Source organism: Homo sapiens, chromosome 3 (genome assembly GCF_000001405.40).
Source record: "Homo sapiens chromosome 3, GRCh38.p14 Primary Assembly".
Taxonomy (NCBI): Eukaryota; Metazoa; Chordata; class Mammalia; order Primates; family Hominidae; genus Homo; species Homo sapiens.
In genome coordinates, this window is record NC_000003.12 from 182,677,818 (window position 1) to 182,701,201 (window position 23,384).

General features: G+C 38.1%; 1 long non-coding RNA gene across 1 annotated transcript, besides 4 other annotated features; it reads right to left on the reverse strand.

Annotated features, from left to right (window-relative positions):
• Positions 4,445-4,514: a silencer, noted in NCBI's record as "silent region_14930". NCBI's record gives its function as "represses an Ori minimal core promoter by ATAC-STARR-seq in GM12878 lymphoblastoid cells {active_cell/tissue: GM12878}" and the evidence as "EXISTENCE:reporter gene assay evidence [ECO:0000049][PMID:35858748]".
• Positions 4,665-4,714: an enhancer, noted in NCBI's record as "active region_20880". NCBI's record gives its function as "activates an Ori minimal core promoter by ATAC-STARR-seq in GM12878 lymphoblastoid cells {active_cell/tissue: GM12878}" and the evidence as "EXISTENCE:reporter gene assay evidence [ECO:0000049][PMID:35858748]".
• Positions 4,925-4,994: a silencer, noted in NCBI's record as "silent region_14931". NCBI's record gives its function as "represses an Ori minimal core promoter by ATAC-STARR-seq in GM12878 lymphoblastoid cells {active_cell/tissue: GM12878}" and the evidence as "EXISTENCE:reporter gene assay evidence [ECO:0000049][PMID:35858748]".
• Positions 5,839-5,888: an enhancer, noted in NCBI's record as "active region_20881". NCBI's record gives its function as "activates an Ori minimal core promoter by ATAC-STARR-seq in GM12878 lymphoblastoid cells {active_cell/tissue: GM12878}" and the evidence as "EXISTENCE:reporter gene assay evidence [ECO:0000049][PMID:35858748]".
• On the reverse strand, positions 15,235-22,171 carry LOC107986054 (uncharacterized). The gene is made up of 4 exons (XR_001740577.1): positions 22,040-22,171; positions 20,322-20,502; positions 19,223-19,345; positions 15,235-15,440 (listed from the first exon to the last, which is right to left on the reverse strand). It is a non-coding gene; the product is annotated as an uncharacterized LOC107986054 (long non-coding RNA).
• Between the last annotated feature and the right edge of the window lie 1,213 nt (positions 22,172-23,384).

Here is a 23,384-nt window from a genome sequence, read left to right on the forward strand (position 1 = left end):
TGGATTATGGGATTATGTATAATTTTATTTCCTTTTGCATGTCTGTATTTTCTTAATTAGCTATAATGAAAAGGTATCATTACTATAATAAGAAAACATCACTAATAACAATAGTTAATATTTACTAAGCACTTCCAATATGCTGAATACTCCACCTATACTATCTCATTTAATCCTCAAAGAGACACTATGAGGTAGTACTATGATTATCCTCATATTGCAGCTTTGGAAATTGAAGCTTAATGAGCTTGAGAATTTCTCCAAGGTTCACAGTAAAGAGTACCAACTTAGGTCTGTACTCTTAGCTGCTCTAGGGGTAGGATAGGTATGAAAGGTTCTCTTTTCTTTTGTGATCCAAACAGATACAACCTCAAAGCCAGCCAGAGCAGGGATCACCAATTCCTAACTGAATTTTCCTGTGACTGCTGCACTTCAATTCTGTTAGCAGCTGCCACAAGCCTCTAACTTCCCCCTTGCCTCCGCTTCCCAAGCAGTGGCTTCCTCCCTCACCTACAGTCAGCTGCAGCTGAACATCACAAGTGATTACTGTGAACATCTCCATACCTTCTCAAGCACCTCTATAGTTAATGAATTAGGAGACTCCAGAATTATAACCATATAAATGTAATATGCCAAAAGGCAGAATATTTATAGTGTGTCAACTAAAGAAAGACTTTTTTAAAATTAAGATTTCCAACCTCACCAAGTAGAAACTTAGCAAAAAAAAAAAAAAGTGGGGTAAATGGCTTAAGGCCAGGGGCTAACCATTCCTACTGAGGAATGAAGAAAAATTCACAAGATGAAATGACTAATCTCTTTCCATATAACTACAAAAGGCCTCCAATCTTTCAATTACTATATTAAATATGCAACAATGACTAGTTTCAACACGGAGAAAATAGTCATTGTAGTAAATGCATGTTAAGAAAACACCACCTCTTCATTATGCAGTTACCTTTTTCCAAGAAGCTGAAATCACCAAAAGAATTTGATTCCATACATTCAAGGCAAGTGGCAGATACTCAGGGCCAATTCTATACCCAAAAAATTCCGGCATTAATTGGCAGAGGGTTGCCCAACTCAGTACAAGTTTTGATTGAGCCATTATATTGCTAACACTGTTAAAGCCTCCAAGAGTAATAAAACAAAAAAGAAAGAAGGAAGATGAAGAAGAGGAAGAAGAGAAAACAGAATGTTTCTGTCCTAAAGGTGCTTGTGATCTGCTACCTAGGGGCCCCCTCAGAACATTGGCTTGAAAATGATCAAATGCCACAATCTAAGTTGGTCTCTCTGCCCCACTCCTCACTACACTCTGTCCATCTGCCACACAGCAATCTGAGTAATTGCTTAAAAACATAAACCAGAACTTGCCACTGTGTCACTGTGGAGTTTAAAACCTCATGACTCCCCATTTTACTTGGTGGGTGGGTGGGGGTCGGAGGACATACTCCTTGCCAAGGTACCACAAAGGCTTAGCTGCCCTGGGCCCTGCTGACTTCCGAGACCCCCATCTCCCCCACACATCTCCACTCTCACTAGCATCTAGACACACTGGCCTTTGCCTAGTCCTCCATCAGCCAAGCTGTCACCTAACTTAGGGCCTGGGGACTGCAGTCTCTCTCCTGACCCAGCTGGTTGCTTTTTTCAGTAAGATCCCAGCGCCTGTGTAACCCACTGAGAAAGGCCTTCCCTACCCAGCACCAATCAGCCTCCCAGCCCAGCTTCACACACTCCAGCATCTCACCTGACATTTTTCTTCACAGCCCTTTTCACCATCTGCAATGGTCAGATTTACATGTGTTGTTATTTAGTGTCTGTCTCCTCCTACTAGAAAGTCAACTCCATGAAAGCACAAACCATGTCTGTCTTGTCCACTACACACGCTTGGCTTCAATAAGTATTTATGGAATGAATCCATGAATGAAAAGTAGGCAGAAAGAAGCATGTCAGTGTTGACTGGAGTTATCCAAGAAAACTCCAGGAACTCAATGGGCCTTGAAGGATAAATAGTAGTAAACTAAAAAGAACCTGATTGAGCTAAGAGCTCTCCTCTTTTTTCTCACTGATATTCCTGGCCTCCTTCAGCATCTTCAAAAGGCAAACGAATAACTCCAAAAGCAATTGCTAAATGCTTATTGAATGGAATAAGTTAATTGTGAAACAATTCCAAGTGACGTATATCATTCTCAGTTGAAGTTATAAGTTTGGGGTTCACTGAGGCTGTTTTTGGTCTAGTCACAAAAGCAACGGTGTCCCAGTTAGAGACTGCCCTATGTCTAGAGTAAAACCAGAAATGAAGCAGAGCCACAAGAAACCCAAAGAGGTCTTGATGTAAGCAAAAAAGTCTACTTCAAGCAAGCTTCTTTCCCACCACTAGGCCTCAAGCCTAACCTAACAAAAAGTACACGGAAAGTGAAATCCTGTTTGCTTTTGTGACTTAAATCCTGTAGCATTGCCTTAGTTTTTAACTTCTGTACCATGCTTTTATTTCTGGTAATATTTATCTTTTTAAAAATAAATCTAAGGCATAATCTCTCTCTCCATTAGATACCTGTTATGGACTGAATTGCATGCCCCCAAAATGAATATGTTGAAGTTCCAACCTCAGTACCTCCAAATCTCACAATATATGGAGATAAAGTCTTTAAAGAGGTCATTAGGTTAAAATCAGATGTTTAAAGGGTGCTTACCCAATATGACTTGGGTCCTCATAAAAAGAAGAAATTTCAACAAAACATGCATGAACAGAGAACAGGCCATCTGAGGACACAGCAAGAAGTTCATCTGCAAGCCAAGCAGAGAGGCCTCAGAATAGACCAAACCTACTGACACCTTCAACTTGGACTTCTAGCCCTCAGAACTGTGAGAAAATACGTTCGTATTGTTTAAGCCATCTTGTCTGCAGTGTTTTGTTATGGCAGCCCTGACAAACCAATAGAATATCCATACTCATAAAGTTTTTCATTGTTGCTGTGTCAAATAATTATACCCATTTCCAACTCATGGTCCCCAAAACTTGTCACTTCAACCAAAACCAGGTGAGATATAAAAGGGAATTACACATTCAGTTGGAAGGAGATACATACAGAAAACCCCTTAAAAACCGGGATCTTTTTTCTATTCATATCTTTCATAATAGTGAATCAGAAAAAGGTAAATTAAAGGTTGTTTGGGAAATTGACAGATCTTTCTTTGGTATGATACCAGGCTCAAGATCCTGTGCTTGTCAGACTAAGACTAAGATTGTACTACCTTTTTACTCCATGTGTTATATCCTGAAAAAAATTCCAAGTCCAGGGAAAAACTTGATAAATAGAAGAATGAAAATGTGCTGTCCAAAATATGTAAAAATACCACAAAACAGATTGTAGAGTATTGTCTATAGCCATTTAACTTGCATGTGTGATAAAGAGTATCATCCAAATATAACCTTATGAAATTTTTTTTAACTTCTAGAAGTCAAAAAGTACCCAAACACACACACATACACACAAACTTATGCTTTGTAGACGGGAGGGAGGTTTGCCATATGTGCGACAAACCGAAGGTTAAATCCTTATTACCTAAAACACAGCTTATAAATTCATAAGAAAAAGATAACTTATCATAATAAATGAATAATATTAAGCAATTCACAAAACAAGAAATTCAAATGTTCTACTAACTTTTTATTCTTTTATTCATTCAATCAATATCTATTGGGCATTTGGTATGTGCTCAGCATAATACAAGACACCAGGTACATGGTGATGAGCAAAAACTGGCCCTTCTCTGTAATTATTCGCAATATAATATTAAACCCAACTTACAATAAAAGAAATTCAAAATAAAATGGTGCCAGGGAATAATCAGACAAGTGTAGAATTGCATACAAAAATATTAATTGAGCTATTATAATAAGGAAAACTTGAAACTACCTTAATGTTTATTAATTCACTGTAAGTTAAATAAATGGATATAGACACTAAATTTGTCCCTAAAAATATGTAATGTCATTGGACAATTCCCACTGCAAAATATGATGGAAAAAAGCATGTGATACTGATGTTTAGATATATGCAAATTTCATATTTTCTACAGTAAAAGTATTATTCTAATAATTAAGGAAAACGCTTTTTAAACAACCAACATGAATGCTTTTGACAGGGATGCCATCGTGTAAGTTAATTGCCAAATAAACTAAATAAACTTTTTTTTTTACTATTATTCTTCAGTTGACAAATAAAAACTGTATAATTTACATTGTATGACATAATGTTTTGAAATATACATAAATATGCTTTCTTGGATGCTCACAATTTGGGTACACTTTGGAGCATACTGGAAAATGCTCCTAACGTTGGAAGCAACACAGTCCCCTTACTTGAGCGATAAAATGTTACTTTGTTCCTTAAATTAAAGAAAGGTTCGAAGTTTAGTTTGACATTCACCTCTGCCTTTATAAAACAAACACAGCCTATAAAATAACTTAAACGCCCAGAGTGCCGAGTTTCGTCGGGCCCTGGCTGCGCCGGGCCGAGCCCTGCCCCGCGGAGGTCGCCGCCCAGCACGGTCTGCAGATGGCAGCCTCTCGCGGAAAGCCCCGCAACGCCGCTTCCTGCCTGGGGGCGGCACTTGGGGCCCGCGCCGGGGTTTCAGAAACCTGTTCGAGCCGTTCCTTTATGGCGGAACGTTCTTATTTAGTAAATATTTATTCCACTCCCCGAGGACCCAGCACTAATCACTGCCACTTCTCTTTAATAATAAATGGTGAACTTCAAATGCGGCAGAACTCAGCCGGCTAATCAGTGCTCGCCGGGAGGTGCAAAACTGTCTGAAGCCCACCGGTGGACATGAAAGACGGAACATTTCCTGTTCCAGCTCTCGGTGGCCCAGAATAAACTTCAGCCGAATGAGAGGATGTCTAGGCGGCCGCCCCCCGCGCGCCGGCCCGGGAGCCCGGGTTCCATCTGCCCGCGGCCCGGAGGTGCGCCCCTGCCCGCTTCGCCCCGGGGACCCTCGGAACCCGCGGCTCTGCCCTCCACACAATCTGGGCTGCCGCTCCCTTGGGCTTTTCGTGAAAGCTTCCTTTTAAATTCGCTGTTTGGTCGCAAGCCATTTAGCCCTTTCCGTGGGCCCGGGCGAGGGGCGGAGAGCGGAGAGCGACCCGAGCTCCTGGGAACCTGGGGGCTCCGCGCTGGGGACTCCAGGCCGCCCGCCTCGGCTCTGGCCAAGGGGTCAGCACGTGGGGTGGCGTTTGCCCCAGCATTCCAGCCCTTTGGTCTCCAAAGGCTTTTTGTATTCACTAGGGAAGGTAAGGGCCGCCCCTTTAATGGTTGCATTTTGGAATGTAACAAACTATGAGGACCACCCGGTACGCTTGCGTTGGCATCATACGAGCCCCGCGGTCCCACCGTCACCCACGGCTGATTTGGAAATGCCACGGGGCCTTTGGACATATGGAAAGACTTTTGGCCCAGACACAATAATAAAAATATTCAAAACGTCTTGAGACATAACTCATTTATCTACAATTCTGTTTACTCAAGGTGTAATTTTCATTCTATATTGCCCATTCTGGTGAAGACATGAGTGTTTGAAGCGGGCTGACTATAGTTTTATGATAAGCCATATTTTAGCTTTAAATAAGAACTGCATTGCCTCCAAAGTATTCCATCTTTTGTGTAACAGAGACCCACAGATCCTAAGTGAAATTTGTTCTCAAATTTAACACATTTCTGTAACATATTTAAACCTGAGTTAATTTAGAATGGGTTGCTGGCACCACTGGGATTGATACTGAAATGGTTTTGCCTCATTCACATCGAGCCCTGCAAATGTACTTTAAATTCTACGCTCTTAATAATCCCTAGGCATGGAGAAAAGATTGGAAGTTCTTTTTCTACAACCGCTCACTGAAAACAACACAGTGCACGGTTTCAGTGATGAGCTTGGAGTGCCCCTCTGTGGAAGAAGGTGGGCACTGCAATTTTTCTTTCCTAAATTGACTTGCCGGTGTCTTAGGAACTGTGGTTCTTTACCTCTGCCAACCATGAAATTCGATGTTACTTTTCCATTAACTTTTGTGGATTGAACCTCACTCCTTGTTTTATATAGAAACTTAAATATGTGTTGAAAATAATGAATGAATCTTCTTGTCTCTCCTGCCCCCAAAGCTTTCCAACTGATGATAAAAGATGAGAACATTTTCTTGCAAAGCCCAAAGCTGTGTTAGTACCTATTCTGACATTTAGGACTAGACAGAATGGCTTGATAAGGAGCACAGATAGATGTTATCTTATGTGCCCGCAGGGGCTGCTACAGAAAGCTACTGAGACAGAGTTTGAGCTCAGGAAGAAAAGAATGATGTGATACAGAAAGTTAGGTGCAGAAAGTAAGTTAGTTACTCTCCCTCCAAAGAGTTGAAACCTGTGTTATTGATCTATAACAGTGCTGGCCATTGGCTCATTGTCGTGAGTTTATTTCATTTACTTCCGTTTTAATCTCAAAAGTCAAAACAGTGTATTCAGGCAAGGCAAGGTGACTCACACCTGTAATCTCAGCACTTTGGGAGCCTGAGGCAGGAGGATCACCTGAGGTCAGGAGTTTGAGACCAACCTGGGCAACGTAGCCAGATGCCCATCTCTCAAAACATTTAAAAATTAACTGGTCATGGTGGCGGGTGCTTGTAGTCCTAGCTACTTGGGAGGTTGAGGAGGGAGGATCACTTGAGCCCAAGAGTTCAAGGTTGCAGTGAGCCAAGGTTGCACCACGGCACTCCAACCTGGAGTGAAACCTAAATTTGGTTTCCCTCAGAGGTGATAAATCTTCACCTGAGTCATATGTTCAAGTTATACTTTAACAAGAGATATTTTCATTAGGATGCTTTTAACTGCGACTAAAACCCAAAATCTGTCTTATACAATACATGAGTACATTGACTCATATAACTGAAAATTCAGCTCAAGCTTCAAGCAAGGGTTGATATAGAGACCCCCCACAGTGTCACCATAGTATTAATTTCCTTCCATTTTTCTGCTTTATTGTCCAGGATATTGCCAAAAGGGGGATGGATGAAGCCACCAACATCATGGCTGCTCGAAGGAGGTAACTCAATGTTCTCTAAGAAGGAACGACACATGAAAATGGCTGTCATTTGAAAAAAATATATTTTTATCAAAGAGAAAATAATCTACAGATAAGACAGTATTTAAGAAGCAAAGCTTTATTTATTTTGAGTCTGTTTAGGTCCATGGTGGAGGAACTTGTCCTCCCATTTGCCACAGTATAAACGTTTAGTATGCCAATAAAAAGAGGCTGTGGTGAATCCCAACACACACACCAGGCTTCACACAGCACACCAAACTCAGTGCACCTGAGAGAATCCATGGTCTTGACTCTTCATCGTCTAGGGAAGTAACTGAGACTCAGGGCAGAGAAGTGAACATAAATTTCATCATATGAAAACTGAAAAGGCACTTCAAAACGTAAGTGGGGATCAAAGCTCTGCACACCAAAACTTGTTTATTAGTCAAGAAACAACAACTGCAGGCCGGATGCACTGGCTCATGCCTGCAATCCCAGCACTTTGGGAGGCCAAGGTGGGTGGATCTTTTGAACCCAGGAGTTTGAGAATAGCCAGGCAACATGGTGAAAACCCATCGCTACAAAAAATTAGCCAGGCATGGTGGCGTGCACCTGTAGTCCCAGCTACTTAGGAGGCTGAGGTGAGATGATCACTTGAGCCCAGGAGGTTGAGGCTGCAATGAGCCAAGATCATGCCACTGCACTCCAGCCTGGGTGACAGTGCAAGACCCTTTCTCAAGACCCTGTGGTCCAATTACAGATAGCAAGCTTCTTTTTCTCTGATACCCACAGCTCCTACTTGGCTTCATATGATGTTTTCTAAATTGATACACACACGGCAAAGAATACATTCCATAGTGTAGGAAATATAACTGGTATATGAATATCAAGTGCAGGATCTCACCAAGATTATTGTTTAGGATGAGCCTATAGTTTACACATCACTGATAGTCCATCTTTTATACTCTGTTTTTTAACTTTAATTTTAGAATTCAGAAATAGCCATGAACCTTCCATAGAGTCAACCTTGCACATTGAAAGCAAATTTTACATGCCGCTGTATTCACAGAAAAGATTTGGATACTCTGGATATGTATAAAGGTTTACGAGAAAAAATTTCTAAAGCTTTAAAGGCTGTCAGTCTCTTTAGTGTCAAGCCACTGATTTCTTTACCTTTTTTTTTTAACTTTTTAAAGAAATGAAGCTCATTGGCTTTCACTCAGTAATGTTCTCACTCCTCTATTTGTTTTGCAAGGAACTTCAAGTCTCTTCTGTATGTAATCTTCAATCTGCCAAATTGTATGCATGACTTGTGTTGGTGTTAAAAGATAATTGCTCATTTGAACATTCTAAATCTAGCCTTCCATGGCAAGTTTACATTCCTCATGCAAGATAAAGTGAATGGGGAGATCATAAAACTGGAGCTATAAGGAACACTGTTTGATCATGGTAAGATCGGTTTTGTTACTTAATTACTTTGTTTAAATTCATCTGAAGAACCAGTTGTAAATATTTTAAACCTTATTAAAGAAACACTTGAAAAAAGGGCCTCAGATTTCTGCTTCCGGTCGTAAAAGAGATTAAATATTCTGAAAGATCCTGCCCCTCAAAAACAAGTAGATCCTGGATAAATCATCCTTTATTTCATTTCTGAATTAGTAAGGACAAGGGGAAATCTTCAATATCCTTCAAAAAAAACTTTTCAAAAGGCAAGACGGTGAGCAATAATAAAAGGGGGAAATGGGCTGGCCTAAAGACAAAAGCTAATATCAGAGCTGTGTTAGCTGAACTAACTCTCGGGCTAGAAGCAAATAGAGGAACTGTATCTGAAAGTACTACTTTAAGCTAACATTCTCAAAGGACACTAAAGTATTCCAGGTCAGTATTTCCCCTGTTTCCTAGCAAAAGCAAAGTGTTTTCTGGAGAAAATTATCCCCTATGTATTCCCACAGGATTCTCACAGATTAAAAGGAAACAAATATGAGCTCAAAACCAAAATCAGCAAATACACATTGAAAGAAGTCACCCTTATTACAAGTCACCAGTAACTACAAATAGATTTAAGCCCCTAAGCCATTCATATTTTGGAATTGTTGGATACAGAATATAAAATTGCAATCTATGAACTGTTTAAATAATGAAAGATGTGTTCATAAAATGATTGTTAAGAGACTGTCAAAAATATGCAGATTTGAAAAATAAAAACAAAAAGGACTTTTGGAAATAAATATAATAGTTGGAAAAGAAAGTTTAACAAATAGTTTAAGTTGCAGATTAGCTGTAGATGAAGAAAGAACTGGTGAACTGGATAATATATCTGAAAGAAATATCCAGGATCCAGTATAGAGAAAAAAAGGAGGAAATATTAAGATAGATTAAAAGATATGGAAGATAGAATAAAAGGCTTTAATATATATCTAGTCAGAGTCCTTGAGAGGAGAATAGAGAAAATTGAGAGCTGCTATATTTGAGGAGAAAATGAATTTTTCAGAATTGATGAAATGCAGGCCAGGTATGGTGGCTCATGCCTATAATCTCAGCATTTTGGGAGGCTGAGGTGGGCAGATCACTTGAGGCCAGGAGTTTGAGAGCAGCCTGGCCAACATGGTGAAACCCCATCTCTACTAAAAAAAAAAAAAACAAGAATTAGCTGGGCGTGGTGGTGTGCACCTGGAATCCCAGCTACTCAGGAGGCTGAGGCAGGAGAATCTCTTGAACCCAGGAGTTGGAGGTCGCAGTGAGCCGAGAGCACACCACTGCACTCTAGCCTAGGAGACAGAGTGAAACTGCATCTCAAAAAAAAAAAAGAAAAAGAATTGATGAAATACATATGTTCATAAGTGAAGAAAATCAATGTATCATAAGCAAGATAAGTAAAAAGAAGTCCATAAAGATACACATTTTAGTGAAATTGCAGACCATAAAAAACAAAAAGAAGATATTAAAAGTAATTTGAGGCTGGGCACAGTGGCTCACACTGTAATCCCAGCACTTTGGGAAGTCAAGGCGGGTGGATCACCTGAGGTCAGGAGTTTGAGACCAGCCTGGCCAACATGGTGAAACCCCATCTCTACTAAAGATACAAAAATTAGCCAGGCATGGTGGCAGGCACCTATAGTCCCAGCTACTCAGGAAGGCTGAAGCAGGAGAATAGCTTGAACCAGGGAGGCAGAGGTTGCAGTGAGCCAAGAGTATGCCATTTCACTCCAGCCTGTGCAACAAGAGCAAAACTCCGTCTCAAAAAAAAAGTAACTTGAAGGAAAAGGAATGATGATTAGCATCGCAATAGTAGCAATAGAACATAAAAGAAAGGGTTTAATAACTTTAAAATATTTAGAGAAATTAACTGTCAACTTAAAATTATGGACTCAGCAAAACCATCTTTTCATAAATAGTAAGAAAATAAAGACATATTTAGTTGAACAAAAAACTAGAGTTTGGCATCAACAGATCTTCACAGAAACTTCTAAAAGATGTCCTTCAATAGAAGAAAATTATTGCAAAAGTCTAAAATGCAGAAAGAAAAAATTGGTACAAATGTAGATAATTCTAAGATGACATAATATGTATGAAAAAGAGATAAATAAGGACAAAGAGGAAGAAGTAGAAAAAAGAAGGTGAGGACAAGAAGGAGATATAATTTACAGGGTTTAAAAAATAAGGTATAGAACTAAAGTTTTTGCTTTCGATAGCATTTGAGTCAGAAGTAGGTAGCTGACTGAAAAGTGTTATAAGATTCGTTTTATTTTTCAGATCATTTAACTTATTGATTCACTTTAATCTTACTTAAATTTAACATGTTTGATAAGATTTCAATAGTACTAAAAGAAAATAGTGTATTATGTTTAAGTAGTAAAGGGGAAACATTTGGTTAAGAAAAAAATTTAACCAAAAAAGCTAAATTAATTTTTTAAAGACAAGACAAGAAACAAGAGTGAAACAAATAGGGGAAATTTTACATTGATAGAAACAAGTCCCAATATACCAATAATCACACCAAATGTAAAAGAATTAAATACCAGTTTTAAAAAAAAGAAAACATAGCTATACTGTTTATCATATTCATACTTTTTAAATGTGGGAAGGTTAAAAATACGAAGACGAAATACTAGACAAATATCAAAATAATGCAGAGGCCACTACATTAATATTAGATAAAACACACAAAAAACACAAAAATTAGCCAGGTGTAGTGACGAATACCTGTAGTCCCAGCTACTCGGGAGCCTGAGGTGGGAGGATCACTTGATCCTGGGAGGCAGAGACTGCAGCAAGCCGAGATAGCGCCAGTCCACTCCAGCCTGGGTGACACAGTGAGATCCTGTCTCAAAAAGAATGTAAGACAAAGAGCATTACTGGAAATAGAGAAATGTACTATATACTGATTATAGTTTTCAATTCACTATGTGATTATAGACATTTTAAACCCATATATATATAAGAAAATTGCCTCAAAATCATTATAGGATATTTTAACACACCTCTAGTAATTATTGACAGCTTAGAAGATAGGAAATTAATATAGATAAACAATATTTAAACAATATACATAAAAAGGGATTGGTATTAATATAATTAACATATTTAGAATTGTGCCCCTAAACAACTAGAGAATACACATTCTTCTCAACACAGAAGCAATGTTTTCAAAAATCAACCACTTAAACGCAGCCACACAGCAAGTCTGAACACATCTCAAAGGATAAGTATCATAAATACCATATTCTCTGGCAACAATACCATCTAAAAGGAAAAAAATAATAACACAGATTTGATGGACGACTTCAAGCCACACATTCGAGAAGTTTTAATCAGAATAACTACAAAGAAAACTATAACCTAGCACATCAGCATAAAACAGCTGAAAACCAAAAACAAGAAGCAAATTTTTAAAGCAGTCAAAAGAGATACTATCTTCAAAGAAGCAACAGTAAAATAAGCAGCCATCTTCTCAACAGAAACCATGAATGTCAGAAGACATGTGCTAAAAGAAAATAACAATAATGTAGCGTTTCATATTCACCAAGAATACCCTTCCAAGGTAAAAGCAAAAGAAAGATAGTTTCAGACCTACAAAGTATGGGTGAATTTGTCACTAACAGGCCTGCATTACGGGAAATGCTAAAGGGCATTCTTCAGGCAGAAGTAAATGGTCGGTAGTCCCAGATGGAAGCTCAAAGGTGCAAGAAGAAATGAAAACCAAAAGAGAAAATAATATAGAAGTAAATATAAATGAATATTTACAATATAAAACAATAAGAATATTGCTTTGTGGGGATAGAGATATAGATATGACAGTAATAGCACAGAAGTCAACAGAACAAGTAGAATGAAAATGTTTTTCAGTGTTTGTGATTAACACAGCCGTTCTCAAAGTGTAGTCTCCAGGTCTGCGTTTGCATCACCAGTGTCACTTAGGAAATTGTTGGAAATGCAAATTCTCATGCCTCAACCCATGCCTGCTGAATCAGAAACCCTGATGACAGAACCCAGCAATCTGTGCTTTAACAAACCCTTAAGGCAATTCTGATGCATGTTCAAGTTTGAGAACCACTGGCCTGGGAAATAACAAAAGTGACAATTTACATGGATGTTTAATAAATTGAGTAACATGTTGTTATCTCTATGGCAACCACTAAAAAGTCATAAAATAATATATAATTACTTAACCAAGGAAGAGGGGACTACAATAATAAAAAATACTTAATCAACATAAAAGGCAAGAACTTTGAAAAATGAGCAGAGGCAATTCAGTGGAGAAAGGACAGTCTTTTCAACAAATGGTGCTGGAACAACTGGGGATATGAAAAAAAAAAAAATCCTAGACACAGATCTTACACCTTTCACAAAATTTGACTCTAAGCAGATCATAAACCTAAACATTAAAACACTAAACTGTAAAACTTCTAGAAGATAACATAGGATAAAATAGAGGTGACTTTGGGTTTAGTGGTGTGTTTTTAGATACAACACTAAAAGCACAATCCATGAAAAAAATTAGCAAGTCAGACTTTATTAAAATTAAAAACTCTTCAAAACACACTTTGCCATTGATGGCATCTGTAAGACTCAAGGCAAAAGGAAATACAGAAGTACTCTAGTTGATAAAGTTTTTCCCCATAGAGGTATGGATTAAGAATTCTAGTACTGCCTGATACTGCTATACATGTATACAGGAATTGAACAATTAAGTAAATGGATAGCAGATGATAGGAGGCAGTTTTCTCACTGTTGAAGTAGGAATTTATAGATAAGGAAAAGGAGGGGGGTAGAATGATGTATGTGGTAATGGATTCAAACTAGAAACATCAGTAAAAACTTCTTTAATAATTAACAATATGGAAACAGATGGTTACACATAGAAATATTTATAAATATGTGTATATATACAAGGTAGTATACATACATATATTTCATTGCTCTGTCAGGTGAGAAGCCTGCAAAAAAAAACTACATCTCAATAGCAATGAACACACCTAGCACCCAGATCTTGGTTCCCAACATCATTCTCCAGAATAAAGGAACCAGGGCTCCTTGCAGAAATGAGTGACTATGACTGGGGCAGGAAATACACAAGATTAGCCTGGGGTGTCTTATAGTGCTACAAGTAAGAAACTGCATTCTCTCTCCCTTACTCTGTCTCTCTTCTTCTCTCTCTCTCTCTCCCTCTCTCACACACACACACACACACACACACACACACACACACAAATTAATGAGAGTATCTCAAAGGGGCTCAGGACCAAAAAGCTCCCAATGGCCAAAGCTAGAAGGATTTAAGCAATGAAATAAATAGTTTGGGATTAGAGCCCAGAGTATAAAACGCATATCCATGAGCTCAGATCTGATATAAATATATGATTAAGTAAGTTAATAAACACAGGAAAAGAAACAAATATTCAGTACAAAAAAAGAATTCCAAATAAATTATACCGATATGGTGACTAGCTCGGCCAGGCTTGGTGACTACACTGGCCCGGCTACACCGTTCCACACCTCCCACTGTCGGACTGGGCTGCTACCTCTGTGCCTGCCAGTCATGTTATTAATACTACTGCCACTGCTGTCACTGCTGCTGCTGCTGCTGGGATCTGGCCCTGGGTCCCGCCAGGCCTCCAAGAGGTCACACGTGCACCGACGTGGGATCCTGGAACTGGCAGGAACTGTGGGTTGTATTGACTCCTGAACCCCACTTACCTATATGAAATACAGTTGCTACTGTGGCCTGGGAGGCCATGGCCAGCACCGGGATGCCATTGACTGGACCAGCAGAGAACAAATGCCAAAAGCTCTTGTGCAAGTGTGACCAGGAGATTGCTAACTGCTTAGCCCGAACTGAGTACAACTGAAAGTACCTCTTCTACCCCCAGTTTCTGTGAAAGCAGGACTCGCCCAAGTGCGACTGGCTAGCTTGACTTGAAGTGCTCCTTTGCACAAAGAAATAAAGCTCCTTCTCGCTAATGAAAAAGTATTATATTGATACTTCACCCTAATGGAGGGGGAGCAAAACTTGCCACTCCTTAAGGGCTATGTATAAGGAACTTCCATCCAAGGAGTACAGTTAGAAGAGGGAAATTTAAGTGAGTATTTTTAAGATAGGGACACTCAAGAAACAGTAACCCAACCAAGTGATCAAGGTCAATATCAACCATCATAAATCACATTGATAATCTTGATATTATGTGTGATGAAAATGGCACTTCTCTTCTATAATAAACCCATAACCCCAGTCTAATTGTGAGAAAAACATCTGTGAACCTAAATAACAGAGAGGGAGACTCTCTAAAAGAAAATGATGTTTATTTGGGAATAAGCATTGCCATGGCAATAAGCAGCCCATAGTAAACCATATGAGTATTCAGGGAAGTAACAGAAGAAAAAGGCTTTTAGAGGAAAAATGAGGATTATACAATTGTTATGACACTATTATCCTTGGCTACAGGATCAGTAAGAAGAGTGGCACTAGTCTGAGGTTGAACAGGAAGTTGCTGGGCAGATGTCCTCACAGGGGTACTTCTTTGTGTATAGTTGCAATGGCCTTTGTGCAAGGTTGTGGTTTCTGCAGTCTTCTGTGATAGTTCTTGTTACCAGGCATTTGGGCTTGAGAAACTTCCCTTCGAGACCTTCCCTGGGTCTCTTTGTCAGGAATTTTAATGCAAGTGACTCCATTTTGATTCTGACAACTTTCACATAATCAATAGATTTGTGAAATTTATTCTAATTATATTGAAATTTTACAAATTCCAACAGAGGGCATCCTACAGTATACCAGACCAGTATGCCTCAAAACTTGTCAAGGTCATTAAAAGCAAGGAAAATCAAGAGGAATCAGGAGACATGAACATTAAATGTAATGTAGTATCTTGGATGAAATCCTGGAACAGAAAAACGAGATTAGGTAAAACCTAAGGACGTTTGGAAAAACTGTGGACTTTAGTTAGTAATAATATACCAATATCAATGTATCAATTTTAACAAATATAATGACTAATGTAAGATGTTAATAATCAGAGAAACTGGGGGTACATAGGAACTCTGTACTATCTGTTCAATTTTTCTGGAAACCTAAAACTATTCTAAAATAAAGTCTCATTTTTTAAGGCAAGATGAGAGAAAAATAACATTGACTAGATGAGAAAAATGGAAAGCATATGGTAAGGTGGTAGACATAAATACTTATTCAGTAATTGCATTAAGTGCAAAGAGATTAAATTCTTTCCATTAAAAAAAACAAAGATTGTCAGGCTGAATTTTCAAAAACTTTTATATGTTGCTTATAAAAGAAAATTTTTAAAAAATGCACAGAGGTGGCTCATGCCTGTAATCTCAGTGCTTTGGGAGGCCAAGCAGAAGGACGGCATGAGACCAGGAGTTGGAAAACAGCCTGGGCAATGTACTGAGACCTTGTCTCTACAAAAAAAAATTAAAAATTAGCTAGACATGGTGGCACACATCTGCAGTCATAGCTACTCAGGAGGCATAGGTAGGAGGATTTCTTGAACCTGGCAGTTTGAGGCTGCAGTGAGCCATGATCGCACCACTACACTCCAACCTGGGCAATACAGCAAGACCCCAACTCAAAAAAAAAGGTACAGAAAGATTAAAAATGAAAGAACGGGAAAAGACATGTCATGCAAATATTAACCTACTATCAGAAATGCTTAGTAGGAAAAAGAAACCAGATATATCTTTTTCCACCATTTTACTTTCAATATTTCTGTATCTTTATATATAAGGTTGATCTGTTTGGGATGTACTAGATTAGATAAAGTTTAAGACAATAATTTACTGAAAATAAAATGAACATTTCACAATAAAGAAAAGGTCAGTTCACCAAGAAGACATGGTGATTTGCAGTCTGTAACTACCTAGTAACATTGCCTCAATGTGTATTAAGCAAAAATTGACAGCATTAAAAGGAGAAATAAGCACATCCATAATCAGTGAGCTTTTTAAAATACCTATCTCAGTATTGCTAGGACAGGCAGGCAAAAAAGGGGTAAGGATATAGATTATCTTAAATATATGGTTAACAACTTGAACTTAGTAAATATAAATAGAAAACCACCCCCACAAATGCAGAATACAAATTGTACACACAGAATGATACAAAAGTTGACTGGCTGTTCTACCATAAATCACATCTTAACAAATTTTAAAATATTAAATTAGAATATATTCTCTGACTACAGAGGGAAAAAACTAGAAATAAATAACAAAAATGATTAGTAGGAAATATCAATATGCTTATAAATTAAACAGTACAGTTCTAAATAATCTAAAAATCAAAGAACAAATCACAATGAAAATTAGAAAATATTTTCAATCGAACAATAAATATAACACATTCCAAAATATGTAGGCTACATACAAAACCAGGCTTACAAGAGAAATTTATAGCTTTAAATACATATATTATAGATTAAGAATTAATTATCTAAGCACTTATTCTCAAAGAGCTAGGAAAAGAACAGCAAAATATTCCCAAAGAAAATTGAAAGATGAAAATAATAAACATAAAAACAAATTGATCTAGTAGAAAACCCATGTACAATATAGAAATAAGATAAAACACACAAATCATAAAATCTAGGAATGAAAGAGGAGATATTACTACAAATACTATAGACATTTTAAAATTAATTTAAAAGATATGATAACTTATGCCAATAAATTTGACAATTTAAGTGACACACATGGACAAATTCCTTAGAAAATATAATTTACCAAAAGTGACACAAGAACAAATAGAAAAGTTTTCTTTGTGGGTTTTTTTTCACAATTATTCAATTTCTTTAATAGGTAGAGGACTATTTGAGTTATTTGTGTCTTCTTTCATAAGCTTTGAATTTTAAGCTGTGAAGAAATTTGCCTATTTCATTTAAGTTGTCAAATTTATAAGTTTACAGTTGCAAGTGATATTTATTATCCTTTTAATGTCTGCAGCGTTGGTAATTATGTCCCTTTTGTATACCTGATATTGGCTATTTGTGTCTTCACTCTTTTTTTTTTTTTCCTCAATCAGTTTGGCTAGAGGTTTACCAGCTTTACTAATCTCATCAATTAACCAACTTTTGATTTCATTGATTTTCTCTATTGTTTTTATGTTTCCTATTTCACTGACTTCTGTTCTTAACTTTATTGTTATTCTGCTCACTGCTCACTTTGGGCTTGATTTCTCTTCTTTTTCTATTCCTTTTTGGTTTTTTTTTAGAGAGAGAGATGGGGTCTCACTATGCTCTCAAACTCCTAGGCTCAAGCAATCCTCCTGCCTTGGCCTACCAAAGTGCTAGGATTACAGGAATGAGCCACTGCACCTGGTATCCCTTTTTCTATTTTAAGGTGGGAGCTGATAAAGGACATCTACAAAAGAAACTTAAAATTAATATTATATTTAATAATTAAAAACTGAATGATTTCCCCTTAAGATCAGGAACAACACAAGGATGTCCACTCTCACTATTTCCATTCCATATCATAGTGCAGATTGAGTGGAATAAAGCAAGAAAAAGAAACAAAAGACATACAAATTACAAATAAAGAAATAAGCCTATCTCTATTTACAGAAACCATAATTTTCTATGTAGAAAATCCTAAAGAATCTATTTTTTAAAAAGACTAGAAACCATGAGTTTAGTAAGGTTTCAGAATATAAGATAAATATTTTAAAATATCAATTGCATTCTATATAATAGCAGGGAAGATTTAGAAATTGAAATTTTAAAGTAGAATTACTTACAGTAGCATCAAAAAAAAAAAAAAACACTTAGGCTGGGCGCGGTGGCTCACGCCTGTAATCCCAGCACTTTGGGAGGCCGAGGTGGTCGGATCACAAGGTCAGGAGATCGAGACCATCCTGGCTAACATGGTGAAATCCTGTCTCTACTAAAAATACAAAAACAAAATTAGCCAGGTGTGGTGGTGGGCACCTGTACTCCCAGCTACTCAGGAGGCTGGGAGATGGGAGAATGGCGTGAACCTGGCAGGCAGAGCTTGCAGTGAACCGAGATCGTGCCACTGTACTCCATCCAGCCTGGGCAACAGAGCGAGACTCCGTCTCAAAAAAAAAAAAAAGAAAAAAATTACTTAGAGATAAACCTAAAAAATAGTGTAGAAGCTGCACACTAAAAAGCATAAAACATTACGAAGAAAAATTAAAGAACTACATAAATGTACTGAGTTGACAGATCAGGATACTCTATATTGTTCAGATTTCAATCCTTGCCTAATACAGCTACAGATTCAATGCATATCCAGTCAGTATCCTCTCAGGTATTTATTTAAAGAAATAACCAAGTTTATTGCAATATTTATACGGAAAGAAAATAAAAAACAAAGAATAACCTATTTTCCCACCAGGCATCCACAGAGTTCCTATGCTCATATTTCATACTATATTTAGGATATAGAATTTCCCCTAACTAAAGTCATTTGCTCTATGCTCATTGCTTAATATATGTACATTGGATGATTGTACATTTTTTAAACCACATACAATCATATTTTATTAAAAGCAATGATTGACATAAATACATTCAATTAAAATAATTTTTTGTTTGGCCTGTTGGGAAGAATCAAGAAATTCACATATCAATATATAAATTTACCATGTAACCCTTTATCTAAAAAAGAAAAGTGTGAATCTATATTTCCTTACTTGTAAGCAATAGAAGTAATGAGGATATTCTTCTGCATATTTTGCACGCAGCTTCTGTCACTAACATCTGCTGCTCTTTATATGATGCTTATGTGAAGATATGTGCCAGTTATGGTAAGCTCTCTGAAAAAAGGAAGATAGAACATGTGTGAACCAAAACCGTAAAATATGAATATCAGGATCCTATTTTTAAAGCACTGCCTATGTGTTATTTTATCACGCATTTACTCTAGTTTTGACTTCACCTATTTATGTGAATGTTTCCACAAAGTAATTAACCAAAATCCATGTCATTTGGCCTCTTCACCCCGTACATTCTGCCAACACTTACTTGACCCGATCATCTCCCACATCCTGTGTGTGGCATGTCTCCAAAGCCTCCTAGAAATTCAGGGTTGATTTCTGCTGCACCTATTTGATTAGCTCATTTTGCAAGTTTCTGGGTCGATGCAGACGATCACAAAGCCCGCTTGGCCAAGGGACAGAAATCAATAAGGAGGGAGACAGCAGGAACGACAGGGGTCGGGTTCAGAAACCTTGCCACACAGTGCGCTGGCTTTGTTGAGCTTCATGGCACAGGCCCATGTTCTGTAAACTTTTCATCTGCACACAAATTGCATTTCACAGCGATACTAAAAGGGTGGGTTACTGATGGTGCATGTGGGAGGTATGTGCACAAATCCTGTTATCAGATAATGGGATTACCATGCATGCCTCCTGAGTATGCTTTGAAAGTTTACTCCCGAATCTACATATACAGCCATGGGCCAGCCATTTTATAGCACAACAAATAAAACTGCTGCCAAATCACTTTTAAAGTGGCTATTATCGTCATTATTTCTGTCATCACTTCTGAGTCGGGCTGTAGGAACAGCCATATCCAGGTAAGCAGTATTTTCATCATATCCCCACCCACCCTGAGTAACACCAGATTGTTTCTTAGTGTTTGTTCTGAAGCCTATACAAAACTATAGGCCTTGAGGAAATAAAGAATAAAAATCAATGGGGAAAAAGGAAAATACCAGGTATTTTAGCAACACAGATAAGATGTCTTCTACAAAACTTATAACCAAAAAAACTATTTTAAATGTTCATTTACCATTCATGTTGTCATTGGCTTCGGTGTAAGTTTTCACTTAGTCTTAGGTTATAGGCGGCACAGGTGCAGGTTCCAGCTTGTACCCATTTCAAAAATTTCATGTCCAAGACTTTTGCCCTCTTGTGGCTAAAAACACCTCATACTGTGCTCCAACTTCACTACTCCAGGTGGAGAAATTGTTCTGTGTGGGAAGACCAGGCCATAATCCTCAGGACTATGGTAACTATTGATCAGAATCCCTGAACCAACAGTCATAATACACAATCTATCTGTTAAAATAAAACTTTTTTTTTTATTTTTTGAGACAGAGTTTGCTCTGTCACCTAGGCTGGAGAGCAGTGGCACAATCTCAGCTCACTGCAACCTCCACCTCCTGGGTTCAAGCTATTCTGTCTCAGCCTCCCGAGTAGCTGGGATTACAGGCATGCACCACTACACCCAGCTAATTTTTGTATTTTTAGTAGAGATGGGGTTTTACCATATTGGCCAGGCTGGTCTCGATCTCCTGGTCTCAAATGACCCACCTGCCTTGGCCTCCCAAAGTGCTGGGATTACAGGTGTGAGCCACCATGCCTGGCCAAAAGAAAAACTTCAGACAGGCAGGAGCAATGGCTCACGCCTGTAATCTCAGCACTTTGGGAGGCCAAGGTGGGAGGATCACCTGAGGTCGGGAGTTTGAAACCATCCTGGCCAAATGGCAAAACCCTGTCTCTACTAAAAATACAAAAAAAAAAAAAATTAGTCAGGCATGGTGGTGTGGACCTGTAGTCCCAGCTACTCGGGAGGCTGAGGACCCAGGAGGTGGAGGTTGCAGTGGGCCAAGATTACACCACTGCACTCCAGCCTAGGTGACTGAGCAAGACTGTCTCAAAAAGAAAAAAAAAAAAAGAAAGAAAACTTTGGACAAATTAAATTTAAGAAAGTTAAATTGAGCAAAGAACCATTTAAGAATTGGGCAGCCCCTAGAATTAGACTAGGTTCAGAGCAACTCCAGGACTGCCACATGTTTCAGATCATATTTATGGACAGAAAAAGGAAAATGATGTACAGAAACAGTTGGATTCGTTATAGCTCAGCATTTGCCTCATTCAAATACAGTTTGAACAGTTGGCCCCTTTGACTGGCCAAAACTCTGTGGTTGGTATAAGAGGTAGGTTATAGTCTGTTTACACATTCAGCTAGGTTACAGTTCACTATATATGGAGAACCCTTTAAGCTGAACTTAAAATATATAAGGAGGCAGCTTTAGGCTTGACTTAATTTAGCAATTCCACCTTTTGGTTAACCTCTCAAAACTGATTTTTTTTAGAGATTTTTTGACCCCTTTGAAAACTTTAGGCATTGATATCACTCTGTCACCATCATAAATGGACTTATTTGGTCTCAAATCCCACTAACAGTGGATTTTGTAAGGTGGGAATAAACAGAACAATAGAAAAAAAACTGATTAACATCAGGCTACTTCAGCCTACTTTTTTGTAAGGGCTAGAGGAGACTTCTTTATTATGCTGGAATCTCCTGTTTTCAGGAGGGAAAAAAAAACTGATCTATTTTAGGATGCACCTGCTTCCTCAAAGTTTCCATTTGATTACATCACATTTAGCATGAGTGACTACATTTTGGTTTGGTTTGTTGGGGCCTCGTGCACAAGCTCAGTCCAAAATAATGGCTACTCATAATTTTGTTCAACAATTCCCCCCTTTTGGTCAGGTTCTTACCTGGGTGAGAATGTGACAAAAATGTAAGGCATTACCACCACTTTGTTACCATCATTTTGGGTTTCCAGTCTCAGCATGTCATTCATAGGTTATGGTGCCCTTGTGGTTATGCATTTCTTTGAGTTTTTGTCATTCCAGTCTAAGAGAAACAATTTGACATTTTATAGATAGCTGTGGGCAAATATTTACAACTTTCAAGAAAATACAGCACACTGGGGAAACTACTATCGTGACCATCAGGAGGTCCAAGAGTTTGGAGTATGGTCCTTAGCCAGGGTCCCCATGAACCAAACCAAGTGAAATCAAGTAGATCAAAGAAAGAGCCAAATGAGGAGACTACTAATTTTAACTGAGCAGCCTGTTCATTAATCCCCTGCAACCAAGTCTCTGCAATGTCTGTGTATTCATCCACATGCAACAAGAATGTCAGCAACTGCATAGATTCTTGCATTTTCAGCCAGTAGGTAATCTAGAACAATTCTATTATCTAACACATCTATAGCAAGAGAATTTAAAGAAGTCTGTTATGCAACCATAGCTTTTGCAGTAAGATCTAGTATAAAGCCTATTAAGAGTAATAAATTTTTAATTTTACATCATTTACTCCAAATCATGGAAAAATAGACCTAAAAAATGATGCCCATTCAGAAGTGTGAAGGCCTCCTGGCAATGTTCTCTTTAACCTCTGATAAAGGTTAAGAGGAGTGAACCCTGTTCTGTTTCTCACCGATTATGGCTTGCAACATATCAAAGATTTTTCCCTCAAATGCAATTTTATTTATTTGGAAATTATTCAGGAACGCAAATAAATTCTTTTTACATATTTATACTTAATGGATCATTTTTACTACAAATCATATGATGAGAAATACAGTATTTGTATAAAGATAAATATACAATTTAGCGAGTGATATATCTGATGAGTATATAGTTTTACGTCAGTGAGTTTCTGGGGTTTTTGTTGTTGTTGCTGTTTTGTTTCATTTTTATTGTTTTTTGAGGCAGAGTCTTGCTCTGATCATGCCAGACTGGAGTACAGTGGCGTGATCACGGCTCACTGCAGCCTTAACTTTCTGGACTCAGGCAATCCTCACACCCTACCCTTGCACATAGCTGGGACTACAGGTGCGCCACTACACCCAGCTAATTTTTTTATTTTTTGTAGAAATGAGGTCTCGCTATATTGCCCAGGTTGGTCTTGACATCTGGGCTCAAGCAGTCCTCCCACCTTGGCCTCCCAAAGTGCTGGGATTACAGGTGTGAGCCACCATGCCTGGCCCTCACTGAGTTTTAATTTGCATGGTCTTGATTACTAATGAGTATAAATGCCTTTACGTATATTTAT